This window comes from Homo sapiens, chromosome 6 (assembly GCF_000001405.40).
Source record: "Homo sapiens chromosome 6, GRCh38.p14 Primary Assembly".
Lineage (NCBI taxonomy): Eukaryota > Metazoa > Chordata > Mammalia > Primates > Hominidae > Homo > Homo sapiens.
In genome coordinates this window covers 149498617-149520759 of record NC_000006.12, presented here as the reverse complement: position 1 = coordinate 149520759, position 22143 = coordinate 149498617, and the positions used below count along the sequence as shown (strand labels likewise).

The window sequence follows — 22143 nt, the reverse complement described above, 5'->3', positions numbered from 1 at the left end:
TTACAGGCGTGAGCCACTGCGCCCGGCCTTGTTTTTGTTATGCTTTTCATGCTTGTATGAGCCTTTTATTGAGTGCTGTTAATTAGGAGAAATATTAATTGATGTAACTCCTGCCATTTGTAATTTTACAAACCTGCTATCTAGAATCTGAGGTAGAGTGTGTGTGTGTGTGTGTGTGCACACACATGCATGTGTGCACCTGTGCGTGTATTTTAAACTGATGAAAAATTATATTTTCTATGTTTGACTATATTATAAATTACTAATAATTACCCACTGCAGACATGATATGTTTCCAAAGTAATTATTTTGACTTTATGGTGTTTTGAGTCTTTTAGGTGCACAACTTAAATTTTTTTTGTTTGTTTTAGTTGTCATATGATGCAAAATAGAAAAGGTCCATGGAAAGGTAGATAAAAGTCTCATTCATTCCTGCTCCTCATCTATCTAATTTCTCTTCCAGGGTAACCATTATCACCTATTGGTACTAACTTTCCCCTACATTTTTTGAATACATATGTGCATATATATATATATGATTTTCTCCTTTTAAAAAGGAAAATATAAAACAAAGGATGCAGGCTATACATACTGTTTTTGTACCTTGCATTTTTTAATTAACAGTGTATCTAAGAGATCAGTTCATATCAGTATATAAAATGAACCAGCCCTGTTAATGGGTTTTCTAAATTTTTACTCTTCCATGTCCATAGCAGTATGTTCCACCTTTGTACATATTACATTTCCCACATACACATACATATATGTCAAATACATTGCTCGTAGCATGTCAGTCTTAAAAGTTGGGTCTCTCATATGTTGAAATAATACGAGTTTTTGGTTTTTGATGCAGTGTTTTTAACAGGTTTCACTTTGATAGTTACTCACATGTAATGCTAAATTTTACTGGGAATTTCAGGGTTACTTTCTTTTTCTATAACACTTATTTCCCATGCTTTTAATGAACTGTTTTTTTTGTCTGTTTTTAGTAAGAAAGAAAAACACTATTTAGTTGTGAATTGCTGAATTGTTTGGTGGATTCTGTTACCTTATGGGAGTTCAGAGAAGGAAGAAATTATTAATGTGACTAAAGTAGGCAAGGAATGTTGAGTGGAAGCTGTGATCTCTGTGATAAAGGAGAGGGTGACTTGGATTGGAGTTCCATGTACTATTAGTTTCTCCTGTGAAACCTTACCTCCTCCTAGAACACATGGCTAGTTTTTGACAGTGCTGTTTGAGTGATTTGTGAAACCTAAATTGAAGCACTAAGATTTTTTTCCACATATGAAAATTACAACTTTGTGAATGAAAGATTCCAGTAAGTATATTCAAAGTGTTGGTGAGCTGCTGGCCTGATGCAGTGTAGTTCTGGCCAGTAGTAATGCCAGGTGGCTCTTATGTAGAGCTCTGCTTCCAAAGAGCTAGTTTAATTGTATCATTTGGGAAGTGTATGAAATAAATATTATAATTCCTCATTATAGATATGGAATTTGAGGCATAATCTTGAGAAGTGATTTACCTAGAGTCACATACACAGATGATTTAGACAGACCCTACATTTGGTTTGTTTTTTACCCTCTCAATCCTGTCTTCTTCTCAACCCATCCACCCATTGAATAAATACTACTACTTTCTTGTGACTTTTAAATAAATTTCTTCATGTTTTTTCCTAAGATAAAATGTCACATAGGAGGGAGAAGCTTTGGTTTTGTATATGCCATCATAAACATACAGTTTATTATTCTCAGTTAATTTTGAGATAATTATATATGTTATTGATTCACATTTATAAACTTAATGTGTATAATGTGCCATTCACAGCACTAAGAACTTTCCTTTATAGTCTGATGATTCCAGCAACTCTGTGAAATGTTGGTATTATTTTCAGTTTATAAATGAAGATAATGTAAATAAAGATAATGAATTGCAGAGAAGTGGTGTCTTACCTAGGACCTCCCACTACAGTCAAGAACCTCTTACATTAATCTGGTGCCCTTTCTGTTATACGGTAACTGCTTCATCCATAGTGAGACTTTTAATGGCAGGCAGATGGCAAATAATTTTTCAATGATAAATGATGGCTGTTTGTTACCATTACCAGTTATTTTAACTCTTGCAGTAGACTGTTTCACATTTATGGGAAACATTGCTGGCCACTTTTGTTTCTGGAGTCTCTGGAATTGCCAAATAGATTGATCTTGTCTTTTTTGCTTACCCTATGGGTCCCCCTTTAAAACCCTGACAATCAAGGTACACATAGGATTCTCAGTCAAAACCTCTGTCTGTACCTCCAGTTTGTTTTACTTCTACATTTAATCTAGGACCCTTCTGTAGGAAGCCTTTCTACAAACAGCATTTCCTAGTGGTGTGGTTGAGGGATAGGAAAGGCAGGGCAGTCAACAGGTCTGGGACATGGATGCGAATTGAATTCTCATCTGGTAGGAGACTTGAAAATTGAATTCTCATCTGATAGGAGACTAGAGTTGAGAGTAGAGAGGCTGCATTGAATGCTCTTCCTTTCTAGCCCTACCAAGCTAGTTAGGATGTAGCAGTAGGTCCTATTTTCCTGAGGGGATTTTTGGCACTTGGGAGGAATGAAGTTGCCCCTAAGTTAGAATTTCAAAGTAGAGACAGTTTGTCTTTGGTGCTATTACCCACCCTCTCCTCTCACAGCTGTTTGGTGATCTTCTGCACATCCTGCCCTCTTCTATTTGCCTGATGCTCTGTTGCCATTTAGCAGAGTATCTCTTGTTAAATCTTTTTTTTTTGAAACGGAGTTTCGCACTGTCGCTCAGGCTGGAGTGCAGTGGCACGATCTCGGCTCACTGCAACCTCTGCCTCCCAGGTTCACGCGATCCTCCTGCCTCAGCCTCCCGAGTAGATGGGATTACAGGCACACACTATCTCGTTAGATCTTTAAAAGGTCTCTTAAAGTCTCACTTCTCTCAAACTTAGGTCTTTCAGATCTTAAACTCAGGTCCCAAATCCTCAGTTTTCCACTGGACTTAATGTTCTCATGGGCTCAATGGCTCTACTTGAACACGGCATTTGTGTGTAATTTATTTGAAAGTTTGATGTTGTAATATTCACATATATCGTTAGGTGGCAGCATGTGGCTACCTAGCAAAAATGGATGTCTGATTTCAAATTAGTAATGGAGATGGAATTACTATGATTCTTTTGTTCCCTTTCTCTGTCTCTCGATATATGCCATTTATAAAATAGCTCTTATGCTTTTTATAAAATAATTATTGTTCTTGGTTAGGTGGTTTTTTTACTAAGCTCTTTTTTTCTTTTCTTAATAAATAGGTGGGAAATACACCAAGAGTGATTTCAAGGAGTATGAAAAAGAACAGGATAAACCACCTAATTTGGTTCTGAAAGATAAAGTAAAGCCCAAACAGGAGTATCCTTACCAAGAATCAGTTAGTTAATATGTATTGACCATCTGCTATGTGTAGAGTACTGTGTGATGTGTTATGAAAAGTCACAAAAGCTATAGAAGACAAATTTCCTGAATCCAGATTGTTTGTGAGGAAGTAACTTAGTTTATCATTATCTCTTTTCAAGATCTTACATATACTTTGCTTTTTCACTATACTCTAGTGTATGGAGAAAGTTAAGGTTGAAAGAAATCTGTAGCCTAATTCTTTTATTAATACTTTCCTACTCTAGGTTAAGTACTTTCCTACTTATCATATTCTCAGAAGATCTTCAGGTAAGATTTGTATTTTCTTTTTGGGGGGGCTTTCCTGCAAAAACCGGAAAGCCTACTAGACAAATTCTAAAAGAGCTGTAACACTAGCTTTGTATTTTCTATATGTAATTGTAATGTTTTCTATTCCTCATAATCTGAAATTTATTATTGCTAAGCTGATTCCTTTGTGCTACCTGCTGTTATGTTTAACTTCCTTACCTAGATAACAAAATCCTATTGTTCTCTGTTACAATGTTAGGTTACTTCTTTCGGTATAGTATATTGTAATTTCAACAACAAATATTTATTGGGCTTCTACTGAGTGCAAGAGTTCACTTTTGTAGGATTAAAAAGAAATCCATTGACTTGACCATTTACTTCAGGTTCTTCCAAGTTTTAGGTTGAGACATGTAAAAAGTAATGAAACATACTGTTTATATTATGACATTTAAATTGGTTCACTAATTTTTCCCATTATAAATATATCACTCCACACATTGCAAGAGTTATTTCTGTTGTGATTCTTTCTGGTAAATGGTGTCTTTGTTTCCTAGTTTCTATTGGTATTTCAGGGATTTTTTTTTCTACATATGTAGACATTTCTTTTCCAAGTACTCATCAAGAAAGATGAATATCAGGTTGACCTGGTCTATATTCATGTTTTAAGATGTGTTGATTGTCTGCAATGTATAAAGCATTGTGAGGTGTTAGAACTGGATAAAGTCTGAAGAAAGCTGATAAAATCAGCATAAGGAGAGGCTTTCACATGCAGACAGACCAAATAAGAAGCTGAGATTTGGTCAGAAAAGATCAACATTCAAGGGCATATGATTGAAAGCTCAAAATCATAAAAGTTATGAATGGAATACATTTGATATTTATTTACCAAATCTTTGAAATTAAATTTAGGCTTATTACTAATAACTATAGCTGGAAGAAGGGGAATTTTAAGTTTTCTTTAATTTTAATTAATTGAAACAACCACACATATACTTATATGGAATAGTGTAGCTTCTAGCCTTTTGAAGTTGATGCAAAAGAGAGAAATGCTGTTAGGGGATAGTCTGATGTGCAGATAAATTGTCTTAAGTCAGTTAAGAAGGCATGGTGGCATCTACTTTATGGGCCTTAAGAGAAAGAGAAATTAGTGAAAGTATAGATTATTAATAAGAAGAATCAAAAATAGAAGTAGGAGAAGGAAATAACTTGGCCCAACTAGACCTCAGGGAAGAAATTGGAGAAAAGATGGCAGTGAGCTCACAAATTTGTGTTTTATTCAAAGGGAGAGGGATTTGATGTCTTCTGAAAGTGTTGATTTTAGTGATAAGTACAAGATAGTGGGTAAGTGAGGAAGCAGGAGATACAACAAGTGTCTTGAGGGTATGACAAGTAATCAACAGATACTTAGTAAGCATCTGTCACATACTCAGTTTAGCAATGAAAGATATTCAGTTCCTGCCCACATAGAGCTTACATTTTGCTGTTGGAGTGGGGAAAAAAAACCAGACATTAAATAATTACCATTCTAAATACGTCTAAATTATTGCAAATAAATATTGCAAAGAGATATGGGACTCATAATAGGGGGCGAGAGGTTAGAGAATACCCTCAACACTGAAAAAAGTGGCATTAAAGCTGTGACACTAATATGGGAGATAGGAGGGCTGAGGTGGAGTGCTGTCTTCTTTCGTATGATCCATCATTTAAGAAATAGGCTGGGTGCAGTGGCTCATGGGAGTGCTGTCTTCTTTCGTATGATCCATCATTTAAGAAATAGGCTGGGTGCAGTGGCTCATGCCTGTAATCCCAGCAGTGTGGGAGGCCGAGGTGGGAGGATTGCTGGAGCCCAGAAGTTTGAGAGCAGCCAGGGCAATATAGCGAGACCCGGTCTCCATTTTTTTTTTCTTAAAAAAAAAAAAAAAATTGGCTGGGTGCAGTGGCTCATGCCTATAATCCCAGCACTCTGGGAGGCCGAGGCGGGCAGATCACCCGAGGTCGGGAGTTCAAGACCAGCCTGGCCAACATGCAGAAACTCCGTCTCTACTAAAAATACAAAAAATTAGCCAGGCGTGGTGGCGGATGCCTGTAATCCCAGCTACTCGGGAGGCTGAGGCAGGAGAATTGCTTGAACCCAGGAGGCAGAGGTTGTGGTGAGCCAAGATCGCGCCATTGTACTCCAGCCTGGGCAACAAGAGTGAAACTCCGTCTCAAAAAAAAAATTAAAAAAAATACAGTTTTTGTCTTAACCCAATACAGTCACAGTACAAACATTCACACACACACACACACACACACACTTGAACCAAAAGATTAATAAAATAAAATTTTTTTAGGCATATACTGTATTTCTGTTTTTTTTTTTAAATGCTGTTGTGGCCCACTAAATAGATTTTATACCCCATTGATGGATTATAGTCATCAGTTTGAAAAACATTGCTCTGAGCCAGGCGCAGTGGCTCATGCCTGTAATCCCAGCACTTTGGGAGACTGAGGCAGGTGGATCATTTGAGGTCAGGAGTTTGAGACCAGCCTGGCCAACGTGGCGAAACCCTGTCTCGACTAAAAATACGAAAATTAGCTGGGTGTGGTGGTGTGCACTTGTAATCACAGCTACTTGGGAGGCTGAGGCAGGAGAATTGCTTGAACCCTGGATGGGGTGGTTGCAGGGAGCCAAGATCAGGCCACTGCACTCCAGCCTGGGCAACAGAGCAAGACTGAGTGCTCTGAAGAATTTGGACAGAGGGAGCAGCATGTGCAGAGCACACATTAGGATGAAATCATAGGTGGGAGCTATGGAATGTGTATCTGGAAAAGGCAAGATCCAGAAGATGCCCCGGAAACAGAGTAGCATAGTGAAAAGAGGGAAGTTGGAGATAATGGAGTCATAACCGAATGGTACGAGCTGACTAACCCTCTTTAGCCATCTCATGGGAAGCTAGGAGGAACAATGTCTTTCATTTGATCTTATGTAGAAGTGAGACATTCCTGTGGAAAGTGTTGAGTTGTGGCTTTGTGAAGCAGACACGAGCCTCTAGTCCTGAGGGAAGTGTGTCTGCGTTTACTGTGGTCCCACATGTAATTAGCATAGCTCTGCCTGTTGGGCTTCCTCATAACCTTTCTCTGGAAAACCACCATTCCAGCCCATGTCAGTCTTCCTCAAAATCCACCTTTGAGGTTGAGATTATTTTCAGCAGAAATCGTAACTCTTTTATATTTTCTCTTATTCTATTATAGTATATTTAAGAAAATACTTATCTCTGAATTAAAACATTAAAACATTTTTAACACATTTAGATGAAATTTAAAAAGATTCACTCGTAGCTTCATCACCTAGACACATGATACTTTTTATTTCTCCTTGTTTCTTTCAAACCTTTCTCTTATGTAAAGTTATAATCGTTGTATGGTATATGTTGTTTTTGCTTTAAGCTTTTTTCATGTTAATTTTCATAAACACCTTTCTAGGGTTTTTTCTGTAGCATTTATCGTTGTTGATAACTTCATTTATAATATTGTATCTTGTTGAAGTACTATAATGCATTTAAGTATGTCTTTATTACTAGATATTTTGTTGTTCCTACTTTGCTACTAAAAGTAATACTATTATGCATATTTTTTATATGTATATATATATATATATATATATATATTTTTTTTTTTTTTTTTTTTTTTTTTTTGAGACTGAGTCCCCGCTCTGTCACCCAGGCTGGAGTGCAGTAGTGCAACCTCGGCTCACAAAAGTCTCTACCTCCTGGGTTCAAATGATTTTCCTGCCTCAGCCTCCCGAGTAGCTGGGGTTATAGGTTGCGCCACCATGCCCGGCTAATTTTTGTATTTTTAGTAGAGATGGGGTTTCACCATATTGGCCAGGCTGGTCTCGAACTCCTGGCCTCGAGTGAGTCGCCCGCCTTGGCTTCCCAAAGTGCTGGGATTACAGGTGTGAGCCACCACGCCTGGCTTTTATGTATATTTTTGTTCATTTAACTGTATTCATAAATTCTTATTAGAATTTAAACATGATGGGCAGGTGTGGTGGCTCACACCTGTAATCCCAGCACTTTGGGAGGCCGAGGCGGGTGGATCACGAGGTCAGGTGTTTGAGACCAGCCTGGCCAACATGGGGAAGCCCCGTTTCTACTAAAGACACAAAAAATTAGTCAGGCGTGGTGGCATGTGCCTGTAGTCCCAGCTACTCGGGAGGCTGAGGCAGGAGAATTGCTTGAACCTGAGAGGCGGAGGTTGCAGTGAGCTGAGATCGCGCCACTGCACTCCAGCTCGGGCAACAGGGCAAGACTCCGTCTCAAAAAAAATAATAAGAAGAATTTAAACATGATAACTCGATATGCATTGCTGAATTTCCTCTTGATTGAACTAAAAGAAGAGACATACAAATGTACCTGTTATCTTATATAGCTTTTCTGGGCATTGGAATTTATAATAATTTTTTCTAGTTAAAGATGTCCCTCATTTTCTAAATTTAAATTTTTTAAATTATTGACAAATACGTTTATTTTTTCCTCCTAATTTTTTTGCCTACTAGTCTTTATTTTAAGATTGTTTAGGATTAGGATTCTTTCCATTTCTCCTGACTATATAATGAAAGAAAATGTTAGTTTTGTTTTAGAAATGTACTATATTCTTTTGAGATGCTTTTTGCTTTAGTTACTTTTAGCCTTATGACCTCCTTTGTTTACCAGATCTTAAGTTTTGATGTCTTACCAGTATTATTTATCACATTTATCCTTAACTAACTACTGCAGTACAAAATACGATCTTATATTAGATGAGCAGGCCGAAGACTCAAAATCAAGTCACTCACACACAAGTAAAAAACACAAGAAGAAAACCCATCACTGTTCTGAAGAGAAAGAAGATGAGGACTACATGCCAATCAAAAATACTAATCAGGTACCTCTAATGTCCAGACTTAGATGTGGAGAAATAAATATTTTATCCCTCTGTAAATGATGTCTTAGTGATATAATTTAGGAGGTAAGGGATAGTTCTAAGCAGAGATGGGTTTGTTCCTAAGAAGCAGAATGGTTGCACTGGGGTATGGGATTTTAATTTTCAAAAATATTTATCACAAATGATAAAAGATCATTTTTGACATAACTTAATGTATCAAATACTTCCACATTGTGAAGCAAGAGTGATTTCCGTACCTGTGGATACTCCTTTATTCCCATCAGAAACAAGTGTGGTTGTGCTGAAAAAGATTTTGTCATTTATCTGCTTAATTTATCACCAAGTGTTATGTATAGCACTTAAGGGCTCTTGAGATTTTACATCCTATAAAACATTTATATCCTGCTGTATTGTATATAAGAAAAACAGCACTGGTAATTAACTTTAGCATGCTAAAAGCTCTCCTGAACAGCACATTTAAAAAAAATAATAAAAATTCCCCAAAGAAAATTTATTGTGAAGAAAAGTGATTATTTCCAGCCTGTGCTTTGGTTCTTAGTTAAATAAAAAGCAATTTACAGGCTGGGTACGGTGGCTCACGCCTGTAATCCTAGCACTTTGGGAGGCCGAGGCAGGTAGATCGCTTGAGCTTAAGAGTTGGAGACCAGCCTGGGCAACATGGTGAAACCCCCATCTCGACAAAAAATACACACACACACACCTTGACAAAAAGTACACACACACACACACACACACAATTGGCCAGGCATGGTGGTGTGCACCTATGGTCTCAGCTACTTGGGAGCTTGAGAGGATCGCTTGAGCCCAGGAGGTAGAGGCTGCAGTGAGCCCAGATCATGCCACTGCCCTCCAGCCTGGATGACAGAGCCAGACCACGTCTCCAAAAAAAATTTTTTTTTTTTTTTTACATCAGAGCTCCTTGCTTTTGTTTTACCACATAGAAACATTTATGCTGGGCCCTGGTGGATGAGAAGGATTTCAGTGGGCTGAGGTGAGAAGGGAGGGAATTTAAGATGGTGAGAATGTTAACCAAAGATGCAGAAATAGAGAAATGTAGTATGATAGGCAGAGTCAAGGATTTGCTGTCAGGAGAGCTAGGTTTACATACTGCTGGCCATCAAAGTGACCTTGACAAGTTGTTTAACTTTCTGAGCCACAGTTTCATCCTCTGTGAAAAGTGAGAAATACTTCACAGGCATTTTGTTAAGATTCAGTGAAAAAAATGCGTGTGCAAACATTTTCTACACTGGTTATTATTGTTACTACTTTTTTTTTTTAACTGTTAAAGCAAATTACTAGTTTTAGAGTTACTTGGAATAGTTTCTCTCTGTGGTTATGACATTAACTAGATTCATATTTCAGTTAAAGTGTTTCTTTTCTTTCTTTTTTTTGAGACGGAGTTTTGCTCTTGTTGCCCAGGCTGGAGTGCAATGGTGCAATCTCGGCTCACTGCAACCTCCGCCTCCTGGGTTCAAGCGATTCTCCTGCCTCAGCCTCCCGAGTAGGTGGGATTACAGGCACCTGCCATCATGCCTGGCTGATTTTTGTATTTTTACTAGAGATGGAGTTTCACCAAGTTGGCCAGGCTGGTCTCGAACTCCTGACCTCGTGATCTGCCTGCCTCAGCCTCCCAAAGTGCTGGGATTATAGGCGTGAGCCACCGCGCCCGGCCCTGTTTCATTTTTATTTATTTATTTTTAATGTTTTAAGGGTTGCTTTAACAATTTTTTGTTTTGTAGTTTTAAAAACTGTTTCCAAAGTGAAATCTACAAAATGGTACATTTAGAGAACCTAGCTTCCATTCTTGTTCCCTCCCCTTTTCCTTCTTCCCTCTGTGGGTAACTATTTTATGTGTTTTATGGGTTATTGATTTAAAAAAATTTAGCAAGTAAATATTTGATATATGTAGTTAGCTCTTTGCTATAATCCAGCAGAGATAGAATTTCTTCTTTCTATAGCCCTTTAGCTGTTTAAAGATTGCCATCATTCATGCCTCATCCCGTTTTCAGGCCATACTTTTGTTGGTTCCTGCAAATATTTCTCACATGAATCGGTGGTAATAAAAGTAGTAGTAGGCCAGGTGCAGTGGCTCATGCTTGTAATCCCAGCATGTTGGGAAGCTGAGGCAGGAGAATCGCTTGATCCCAGAGTTCAAGACCAGCCTGGGCAACATAGGAGGCCCTGTCTCTATAAAAATTTTAAATAAAAGAAAAAAGTAGTAGTAGTTAATATTTTTTGGTCCTTACAATGTAAGGTGGGTTCTTTTATCCCCCTTTCACACAACAAAGTGAGAACAAAAATTGTTACTTGCCCATAGTTTTACACAGCTAGTAAGTAGTGGAACCACAGTTTAGTTTCATAGTTGAAACTAACTACTCTTAACTTGAAACATACTCCTAACTACTTTTGCTCGTCTTCTTACCTGGGGTATATTCTCATCAGTTTTCTTTCCTAAACTCTAATGTTATTTTAATAAAATTTGTCCCATAGTATAATATTCCAATGTGATCTAATAGGAACACATCTCCTCCTTCTTAAATGTCTGTACTCTATTACTTTAGTCTGAGGTCGCATCAGTCTTCTTTACTGGTGGCTGTATCACATTCCTGTGAATGTTTAGCATGTTTTCCACTAAAAACTCTGAATTCTTTCCCCCTCCATGTGCTGCTTTTAGCTCCAGCTTTTCATCCTGCACTTGTACATGGAACCGTCCATGAATTTAAGCCTGAGATAAATAAACATTGGTGTGTTTGAGATAATCAGAGGTCTAAAAAATTTCAGACTGGTTGTGTTTTTTTTGTGTGAGTCTTTCTGATTCTGCTGTTTGATTACTTGAAACCTTACAGTAGCAAATATCCTTCTCATTTTGCATGGAGTAAAAGCATCAAGATTTTGGGGGAATGCTATTAGTATTTTTAAAAAGATTTTAAGGCAATTTTAAGTTGAAATTTTAAGGCAATATTAACTATAAAATTATTAAATTCTGAATAATGATCTCCTAACTTCTCCCCTTAAAGTATATTAAATTTTAAAAAGTTTTGTACTTTGATTTAATGATATAGCTACATTAATTTTCTCTTCTTCCTAATAAAACTCAGCATCAGTATTTAAGATTTTAATGGCCCCCCGATTTTTTATTATTTTGTTTTTTATTTTTTAAAATTCATTAAAGAGAATTTTCAGTACTAGACAAATTTCAGCTATAGTTCATATTTTCCTGTTTGTCGGTGTTTTGCTTAGTGAGTCTGGTTTCCCAAGAGTATTTTAACTTATTTCTTCAAATTCTTTGTTTTTTATTGAGTAACTAGCCTTACTAATCAATTCGAAAACGTTTGTTTAATTTTCCACCTCATGTCTTAATTCCAGAGATGGTTTTTGTGTTGTTGAGGTTTGGGTTTTACTGGGGTTACAGGAAATGCGTATTCAGCTGGGGGTTGCCTTGCTGAGAAGTATTCATGCTGGTTGTCAGTTTTCCACTGGGGTTTTCATAGTGTTTGTATTCTTGACTGTACTTTTTCTGTCATTTTAGTGATTTAATGTTATCTTGGTGACTAAGATTTAACCAGATCTTTGATTTAGTCCCAGAGACTTGAGCAAGGATAGCTTTTAATTAGATTAGACTTTTTTTGATTGCTTATTTCAAGTCATTTGCTAGGTTAATTGCTTTAAATTGGCCATTTTGTGTTCTTCGTTTTTTCTTTTCTTTTTTTGCCACATGGTAGTTTAATCATCTTGTCTTATGTTTTAAATGTATAAATAATATAACTTTTAAAAATTCATACTGGAAAGGACCTAGACCTTATCTAATTCATTTATCTCACTTTAGATATGAAGATACTGATCCCACAGGCCCTTAGGCCTTTATAGTGGGAGAGCTAGAATTTTAACATTTATTTGGTTCAGTCAGGTGTTGGATTTTTTCCCCATTATTCTGTACCACTCCCCCCTTTTTAATTTTGGATGTCAAGTTAAATTATCTCCAACCTGTGCAGATCTCTTGAGTCTCAGTTTCCCTATTTCTAGAATGAGGATATTGCACTCCTAAAGCTCTTAGCACTGTGTTAGCATGTACTTGGAGGATCTCCTCTTACATGGCTTCATTCAGCCACTTTAACTTTTCCCCTTCATACATACAGGGCTCATTTTTCCTTGCTTTTCAGTTTTCACTTACACTACTTTCATTAGCCTTCTTGCAGCCCATTCAGACCCAAGCTCACTTACCCTTTGAGGCTCATCTGAAATCCTAACTTCTCCATGAAACCTTCTCTAATTATTCTAACCTTAAGAGTACTTGTTTGACACATCTCCTAAATGTCAAAGACTATTTGAACCCAGATCTACCTGACTTCAAAGCTTGTGTAGCTTTGAAAACTACTCCCGAGTAGGAGTGATTTTAAAGTTTCAGTCCAATTCAAATATTCAGCTTCCTCAAATTTTTAAAAGAATGAAGTGCTACATAATCTTTTATCTCTTCTATTTTAAATACTCAAAGCACTTAAGTGCCCATTTGTATAATAACATACTGAGGATTTTATAAATTTATACATCAGCCAGCAGTCTCGGCATTTTAAAAGTTTGTCTCAACCAATACAGAAATAAGTACAAGATGTACAGATATAATAGTATATGAATATTTCTATTTTGTATATGTTATAGGAAGCACAAAAATTCTTTTATCTCAGAATGTCATATTTTACTAGAAAATTGATGGCAAAAGGCTAAACCAAAATGCCTACTCATTTTTTCTACCTCAGGGACTCTTATAATATGACAAGAACTATTGGGATTGTGTGGAAAATCACAAATCAGTTTATAATACTGTATTACACAGTGTGATTATTACTATAACAATCCTGTTACATCTGTTTTCACACACTGTCAAACTCAAGGTGTACAGTATCTAGACAGTATATGGAATAACTAATAATTTGCTTAAAACCCAGTCCTTAACCATGGGTATTCATCACTCTGAATTTTAAGCCTTGACATTTATGTCTGCTACAGTGGTATCTGGTGATAGAGTTGAGACCCTTGGGAGTTTAGTCCTTAGAATTTTCCTTTCCTTTGGGCAGTCTTAAGAAAGTTAAATTTTACAAAGTATCTCTTGAAAGAGCATTGGCTGTGGTCTAAGAGTAGAATTAAATGTAGCAATTTTATTATCTTTGGGGCAAAGGATTCTACCAGTGTTTAAAAACTCATTTTAAAGAAATATAATAATTTTGACATAAGCCTAATCAGCTGAGTGAGGTGGCTCATGCCTGTAATCCCAGTACTTTGGGAGGCCGAGGTGGGAGGGGATCACTTGAACCCAGGAGTTTGAGACCACCCTGGGCAACATGGGGAAACCCCGTCTCTACAAAAAAATACAAAAATTAGCCAGGTGTGATGGCACATGCCTGTGGTCTCAGCTACTTAGGAGACTGAGGTGGGAAGGATCGGTTGAGCCTGGGAGGTTGAAGCTACAGTGAGCCATGATCGTGCCACTGCATTCCTGCCTGGGAGACAGCAAGACCTTGTCTCAAAAAAAATTCTCCTCTCTAACTTCTGTCTTTCTAAACATGGAAGATGTATTTGAACATCTAGAGAGGAGCTGTTATAAAATAAAACACTTTAAAAATTAATTGCTCAGACCCAAGTATACATTATCCATTTTCTTTTTTCGAGATGGAGTTTCGCTCTTGTTGCCCAGGCTGGAGTGCAGTGGGGCAATCTTGGCTCACCGCAACCTCTGCCTCCCAGGTTCAAGCAATTCTCCTGCCTCAGCCTCCCGAGTAGCTGGGATTACAGGCATGCGTCCCCACACCTGGCTAATTTTGTATTTTTAGTAGAGTTTCTCCATGTTGGTCAGGCTGGTCTTGAACTCCTGACCTCAGGTGATCCATCCACCTCAACCTCCCAAAGTGCTGGGATTACAGACGTGAGCCACCGCATCCAGCCTCCATTTTCTTATTTAAGACTTACTGACTTGTCTAAGATCTCTTCCTGCTAAGTTATTTCAATGATATCTTCTTATAGGATTCTTATGGGAATTTTAGTAGTTTCATTGCAGATCAATAATGGGACCACGTTTTGGGGGAGTGAAGGGTGGGGAGCTGGGAATAAGACTATACATAATCAGAATTTTTGATTTTGCAGATTGCTCTAGAGACATGTTCTGATTTCAGTTGAGCTATTTCAGTTCCATATTTTTGAAGCTGATCCTTCGTTTCAGCCAAAATAGTAGATACAAATCAATGACGTTGTTAAACCTTTTTCTGAATTATTTTATTGCTTTGTAATTTACAAGATTCTTGACATTAGTGGTAGTGTTCACATTTAAGCTGTTATAACAGCCTTCTAATGGTAGACTTTTCTAAGTTTTATTAATTGAAAATGCCCACAAAATGATTATTTTACTGATTCACTTGTAATTCCCCCTTCCTTTGACAGGATATCTATAGAGAAATGGGGTTTGGTCACTATGAAGAAGAAGAAAGCTGTTGGGAGAAACAAAAGAGTGAAAAGAGAGACCGAACTCAGAACCGAAGTCGTAGCCGATCTCGAGAGAGGGATGGCCATTATAGTAATAGTCATAAATCAAAATACCAAACAGATCTTTATGAAAGAGAAAGGAGTAAAAAGAGAGACCGAAGCAGAAGTCCAAAGAAGTCCAAAGATAAAGAAAAATCTAAGTATAGATGAAAGATGAAGAGGCAGAATTGAGAGGCTAACATATTTACTCTTGTCTAACTTAAGAGTGCCAGGAAAGCAGATGCTTAGATTTTGTGTCAAAGCTTGTTATTTTTTTCATACTAGGATTATGGTCTTTAGATTAATACTGATTATATAGAGCACGGAAAGATAAAGAATTGAACATTTTCTTTGTATACTTTTTTACACTAATTTTATTGTTATACATAAATGGTAGTCTTCATTTTTGAAGTCTTACATTTTCACTCTTTTTTTAATGAAGTATTTCATACTACAAAAATACATAAACGTATATATAAAGGGATAATAAATGTAAATATCTGTGTACTCATCAGCCAGCTTAAGATACAGATGTTGTCGACATTTTAGAAGTTCCCTAAGGCCCTCTCCCTCTCAAATAATTATTTGGAATTTTGTGTTTGTCATTTGTCTATTATAGTTTTACAACATACGTATGTATCTGTAAGTGAAATGTTAATTTTGTATGTTTCTGAATTTTATATAAATGGCAAAATGTTTACTTCTGTGACTTTCTTTCATTTTTATTGCTATATAGTATTATATAAATATACTACAACTTATTCATTCTTGATGGACATTTGAGTTTTGTTTATTTGTTTTTGCTGTTGAAACAATGCTGCTGTGAACATTGTATCTAGCAGTTATATTGCTTGATATATTGATAAAATAATGCCAAATTTGTGTTCTGAAGTGACTGTACTAGTTTATACCTCTCTTGGCACTGTGAGTTACCTTTGTTTCATAGCATCTCCAACACTTAAGTTCAGACTTAAAAATTTGCCAACCTAGTGGATGTTAAGTGGTATCTACCTGTGATTTCCAGCAAGATTACTGTTATCTCTGCTCTTCCATGTGTAAGATGTCATTTTTTTCCTGGCTGCTTTTAAGGTTTTCTGTCACTGGTTGTAAGAAGTTTGATTATGATGTGCTTGCTGTAGTTTTTTTTTCACGTTTCTGCTGCTGCAGCTATTTTACCTGTGGGTTTATGGTTTTCATAGAATTTGGAAATTGGGGGGCATTTTTTCTTCTGTTATGGTTTTCTCTCTGCTCCTCTCATGCTTCTCCTGGGGCTCTGATGACTTGGATGTACGTTAGGCCCCTCAGAATTTTCTCCCAGTGTGCTGATTCTGTGCAGCTTTTTAAAAAGCCTTTTTCTCTCTGTGTTTCATGTTGGGTACTTTCCAGTGCTGTGTCCTCATTGTTTATTAATCTTTCTGTCTAAAGTATCTAATTTCCTTTTAATCGTATCCAGGTATTTTTCACCTCCGACATATTTTTAGTCTTTAGAATTTCTGTCTGGGTCTTTATCTCCCATGTGTCTCCTTCACATGCTCATGCCTTCCTCTATTTTTTTTTTTTTCAACATCTGGAGTGTATTGATAATAGCTCTTTCAGTGTGCTTGCCCATTCTGTCATCTGCATCATTTCTGGTCTGTTTCTATTGATTGATTCCCACCCTACCCCAACCCCCACCCTGCCCATATTGGATTGTAACTTCCTTCATTACATGCCTGGTAATTTCTGTTTTTAATATTGGGTGCTGGAGTTCTTTTAAGTATCTTGAACTCTGTTTGGGGACATAAAGTTACTTGGAAACAATCCGATCATTTTATAGCTTGCTTTTAAGCTTAATAAGACAGGACTGGGACAGCCTTTAGTTTAGGGCTAATTTGACCCACTACGAAGGTAATACCGTTCTGAATAATCTTCCTGGTTACACGGTTTCTGCATTCTGTCTGTTGGGAACATGAAATATTCTGAACCCTATTGAGCTCCCAGTTGTATCTCCTGTTCCTTACCTCACATGCATACACTGCTTGGTGTTTAGCTGAAGACTTAAGGGAAACCCAATATTCTGCCCTGCAAATCTTACCTTGGCTCCCCTAAATTCTCTACCCAGGGAGGTTCCCTTCCCTAGCCTTAGTGCCACAGCTTAGAAACCCCATGTAGAAGCTTGCGCAATTATAGGGCTTTCTTTGTTTTCCATCTCTCAGGAGTCACTGTCCTGCACTGGCTTTTGTCTAACATCTGAAAAACTTCCTTGTATACATTTTATATAGGTTTTAATTTAAGGTGGAGAAGGTAAATCGTGCCTCTGCTACTCCATTTTGACTAGAGTGGAAGTTAACTTTGTATTTCCTAAATGTTAATGAGGCTGAGCATCTTTTCCCATGTTTATTATTCATTCCTTATTGCTCTCTGAAAAGCTTGTTTCATGTCTTTTGCCCATTTATATAGTAGTAGATTGTTGTCTTTTTATACTTAATAGATTGTGGATACTAAGAATAAGTTAAGGAGTGCTGTCTCTCTCTCCTTCCCTCTGTCTGTTCTCTTGGAAGAAAAGAAAAACATTTAAATTAATCTGTTCCTTAAAAGCTGGATAGAGCTTGCCTATAAAATTGTCTGAACTTTGCATTTTTTTGTGAGAAAATTTCTTAACTATTGATTAGGTTTCAAAAATTATAGAATTATTAGCCTTTCTATTTCTTTAATGTTAGTCATTTTTATTACATTTTTCTGGGAATTTGTTTTCATTGACGTTTTTATTTTTTGATAGCATTGCGCATAGTTTAGCTAGATTTTTCTATCCTGCTTTGTTGATGAATGTCCTTATGTTTTAGTGTGTCTCATAAACAGCATATAGCTAGATGATGATGATGATGATTATTATTACTATTTTGAGACGGAGTCTCACTCTGTCACCCAGGCTGGAGTGCAGTGGCGCAATCTCAGCTTACTGCAACCTCCACCTCCTGGGTTCAAGCGATTCTACTGCCTCAGCCTCCTGAGTAGCTGGGACTACAGGTGCTTGCCACCAGGCCTGGCTAATTTTTTTTTCTTTTTTTTAGTAACAGGGTTTTCACCATATTGGCCAGGCTGGTCTGGAACTCCTGACCTTCTGATCTGCCCACCTCAGCCTCCCAAAGTGCTGGGGTTACAGGTATGAGCCACTGCACCCGGCCAATTATTTTTAAATCTAATCTGAACTTTAACTGGTTAGTTGAGTGCATTTTTATGTGTACTGATGTATTTGCATTTATTCCTTACCACCTTATTTTGTGCTTTTTATGTTTTTTTCTTCCACTCTTTTTTTTTCTTTTGGAATCAAAAATGTTTTTTAATTCCACCCTCACCCCTCTGCCCCCTCTTCTTTGTTTTGGGGGAATTTCCTTGGAATATTACATCCGTACTTAAAAAGTATAATGTTATATCTTTATCTTCCTCTCTAATTGAGAGTCTTGGAACTCTCCAAGTCACCCCTCTTGCAACTTTCGTGTTAAAATCATTCAGTATTTTAGTTATAGCTTGTGATTTTTCACCTTAAAATTAGACCTTGAGCTGGACTCAGTGGTGCACACCTGTAGTTCTGGCTCCTGAATGGCTGAGGCCGGAGGATCCCTTGAGGCCAGGAGTTAGAGGCTGCAGTGCACTGCGATTGTGCCTGTGACTAGCCTCTGTACTCCAGCCTGGGCAACATAGTGAGACACCATCTGTTAGAAAAAAAATTAGACCTTGTGATTATTACTGTTTTTGTACAGATAATTGTTGGTTTAGATTTACTTTATATGTTAGAAGTGTTTGTTTATTCATTATTATTCTCACATCTCAGACCTTTCACCTAGGATAATTTTCCTTCTTTCTGAAGCACATCTTTTGATGTTCCTCTAGTGACATCTGTTGATGGCAAACTCTTAGTTTACATTTATCAAAAGTATTTTCAATTCATTCTATAAAGTTGATTTTATATGTACATAATTCTAAGTTGAGGTGTGTCTTTTTTTCCCCCAGTACTTTGAAGAATTAGTCTACTATCTTTTTACTTTTGTTACTACTGGGGAGAAATCTTTTGTCATTCCAAATGTCATTCTTTTGGATATAATGTGACTTTTCTTTCTGATTGCTTTTTTGCTGTGGTTAAACTTTCAATTTTGAAATCAGTTGTAGATTGGCATGCAATCATAAGAAATAATACAGAGAGAACCTGTGTACCCTTTGCCTAGTTTCTTCCAGTGATACCATCTTGTAAGATTCTAGTATGGTATCACAACCAAGATGCTGACATGGACACAGTGGAGATACAGAAAATTTCCATCACTACAAGGACCCCTCTTGCTGTCCTTTTATAGCCACGTCTACTTCCCTGCCACTTCTGTTTTCTCCTTCACCTCTGTCAACCACTGATATGTTCTCCATTCCTATAATTATGTCATTTCAAGGATTTTATATAAGTGGAATTCTGTATTATGTAGCCTTTTGGGGAGCCACTCATAATCCGGAAATACATAATCCCAAATGCCATGATCATGAAGGTTGAAACCCTGATAATCATAATCCCAAATATGTAATTCTGGAAAGAATAATTTTAAAAACCTTTAAAAGATATTTATTTACATTTTGTTTGTTTGTTTGTTTTGAGATGGAGTCTTACTCTGTTGCCCAGGCTGTAGTGCAGTGGCACAGTCTCAGCTCACTGCAACATCTACCTCCCAGGTTCGAGTGATTCTCCTGCCTCAGCCTCCCAAGTAGCTGGGACTACAGGTGTGCGCCACCATGCCCGGCTAATTTTTGTATTTTTAGTAGAGATGGGGTTTCACCATGTTGGCCAGGCTGGTCTCAAACCCCTGACTTCAGGTTATTAACTTTTTTTTTTTTTTTTTTTTTTTTGAGATGGAGTCTTGCTCTGTCACCCAGGCTGGAGTGCAGTGGCACGATCTTGGCTCACTGCAAGCTCTGCCTCCCGGGTTCACGCCATTCTCCTGCCTCAGCCTCCCGAGTAGCTGGGACTACAGGCACCCGCCACCATGCCCAGCTAATTTTTTTTGTATTTTTAGTAGAGACGGGGTTTCACTGTGTTAGCCAGGATGGTCTCGATCTCCTGACCTCGTGATCTGCCTGCTTCAGCCTCCCAAAGTGCTGGGATTACAGGCATGAGCCACTGCACCTGGCTGATTATTCACATTTTTAAAAGAGGATTTGAGAAATACAAACACAGGCCACTTTACACAATAAAATAGGCAACAATAACATACGTATGTTTGCAAGCATAAGCAGTTCTCAGCTCTACTAATGACAGTCACATGGGTATGACAGTTATGAACAGATGAGTGGTATTTATAAAGAAATAGGTCAAAAAGGGAAATGTATCAATGCATAGCCCTGTGGTTGGTAATTGTGTATGCTCAGCTTTATAACTGCAGTCATTTGAAATACTTTAAGAACAACCAGTGTCTTCCACTGGCTTCACTCAGATGCTAATCTCTGGAAACACTTGCACAGACACACTCAAAACACTAATAAGTTTCTAGGTGTTCCTTAATCCAATCAACTTGACACCTAAAATTAAGTCCCAAAGAACACCTCTTATCAACTCAGCACCCATACATACCTCCTTAAACCGTACTTAATTTCCAAATAAAGACAATGAGAAAGTTGTAGTTCTACCTATCATGATGCCAGTATCCTCTGATTGTGATTTTTGGGATTTTAGACATTATGGATTTTAGATTAGGCATTTTGATCTTTTGGGATTTCACCATTCAGGATTAAGGTGTTCGAGATTGTGTCTTACAGGATTATAAACCAAATCCCTTTTTGGGATTGGGTTTGTTTTGCCCCAGTCAGCCTTATTCTTCAGAGATTCTTCCAGTTTGTTGCTGTATCAATAGTTCACTTTTATTTTATTTTGTTTTATTTATTTATTTGGGATGGAGTCTCGTTGCCCAGGCTGGAGTGCAGTGGCGCCATCTCAGCTCACTGCAGCCTCTGCCTCCTGGGTTCAAGCAATTCTTCTGCCTCGGTCTCCCTAGTAGCTGGGATTACAGGCGCACACCACTATGCCTGGCTAATTTTTGTATTTTTAGTAGAGACGGAGTGTCGCCATGTTGGCCAGGCTGGTCTCGAACTCCTGACCTCAGGTGATCCACCCGCCTCAGCCTCCCAAAGTGCTAGGATTACAGGTGTGAGCCACTGTACCTGGCCAATAGTTCACTTTTATTGTTGAGTAGTATTTCATGGTATGAATATACTGTAGTTTGTTTAACCATTCACCCATTGAAGGACATCTGGGTTGTTTACAGTTTGGGACCGTAATGAGTAAAGCTGCTGTTAGTTTCTTTGTGAACACAGTCTTCATTTCTTCTGGATAACTGCCCAGTAGTGCAGTTGTTAGGTCATATGATAATTGCATATTTAAAGAAACTGCTGAACTGTTTTCCTGGGTGAGTCAGACTGCTTTACATTCCCACCAAGAACATATGGGCGATCCACTTCATCCGCATTCTCAACAACATTTAGTTGTGTCTCTGTGTTTTATTTTAGGCATTCTGGTAGGTATATAGTGATAGATATATAACTTACTCTGGTTTTAATTTTTATTTCTTTAATTGGTAATGTTGTTGAGTATCTTTTCATGTACTCATTTTGCCATCTGCATATCCTGTTAGGTGAAATGTTACTTTATATCTAATTGGATTTTTAGGTTTTTTTTTATTTTTGAGTTTTGAGAGTTCTTTATGTATTCTACATACTAGTTCTTTGTCAGATATGTTGCTTGCAGCTGTTTCCTCCCAATATATAGCTTGTCTTTCTTTTTTTTTCTTTTTTAAGACAGTCTCGCTCTGTCACTCAGGCTGGAGTACAGTGGTGAGATCACAGTTCACTGCAGCCTCAACCTCCAGGGCTCAAGCAATCCTCCCACCTCAGCCTCTTAGTAGCTGGGACTACAGGTGCCTGCCACCACAGCCAGCTAATTTTTTTTTTTTATTATTAGTGGAAACGAGGTCCCTATGTTGCCCAGGCTGGTCTCA

At 37.6% G+C, this 22143-nt stretch overlaps 1 protein-coding gene and 1 pseudogene across 1 annotated transcript in view; one reads left to right on the top strand and one right to left on the bottom strand.

Moving 5' to 3' along the window:
* PPIL4 (peptidylprolyl isomerase like 4) overlaps positions 1–16265 on the top strand; it is a 41549-nt gene extending 25284 nt beyond the window's left edge. The window contains exons 11-13 of the mRNA NM_139126.4: positions 3310–3406; positions 8458–8605; positions 15056–16265. Coding sequence (NP_624311.1) covers positions 3310–3406; positions 8458–8605; positions 15056–15307 — 497 coding nt within the window. The 3' untranslated portion in view covers positions 15308–16265. The remainder of the gene's footprint in view (positions 1–3309; positions 3407–8457; positions 8606–15055) is intronic.
* On the bottom strand, positions 3744–3803 carry RNU7-3P (RNA, U7 small nuclear 3 pseudogene; annotated as a pseudogene).
* Positions 16266–22143: the final 5878 nt, after the last annotated feature.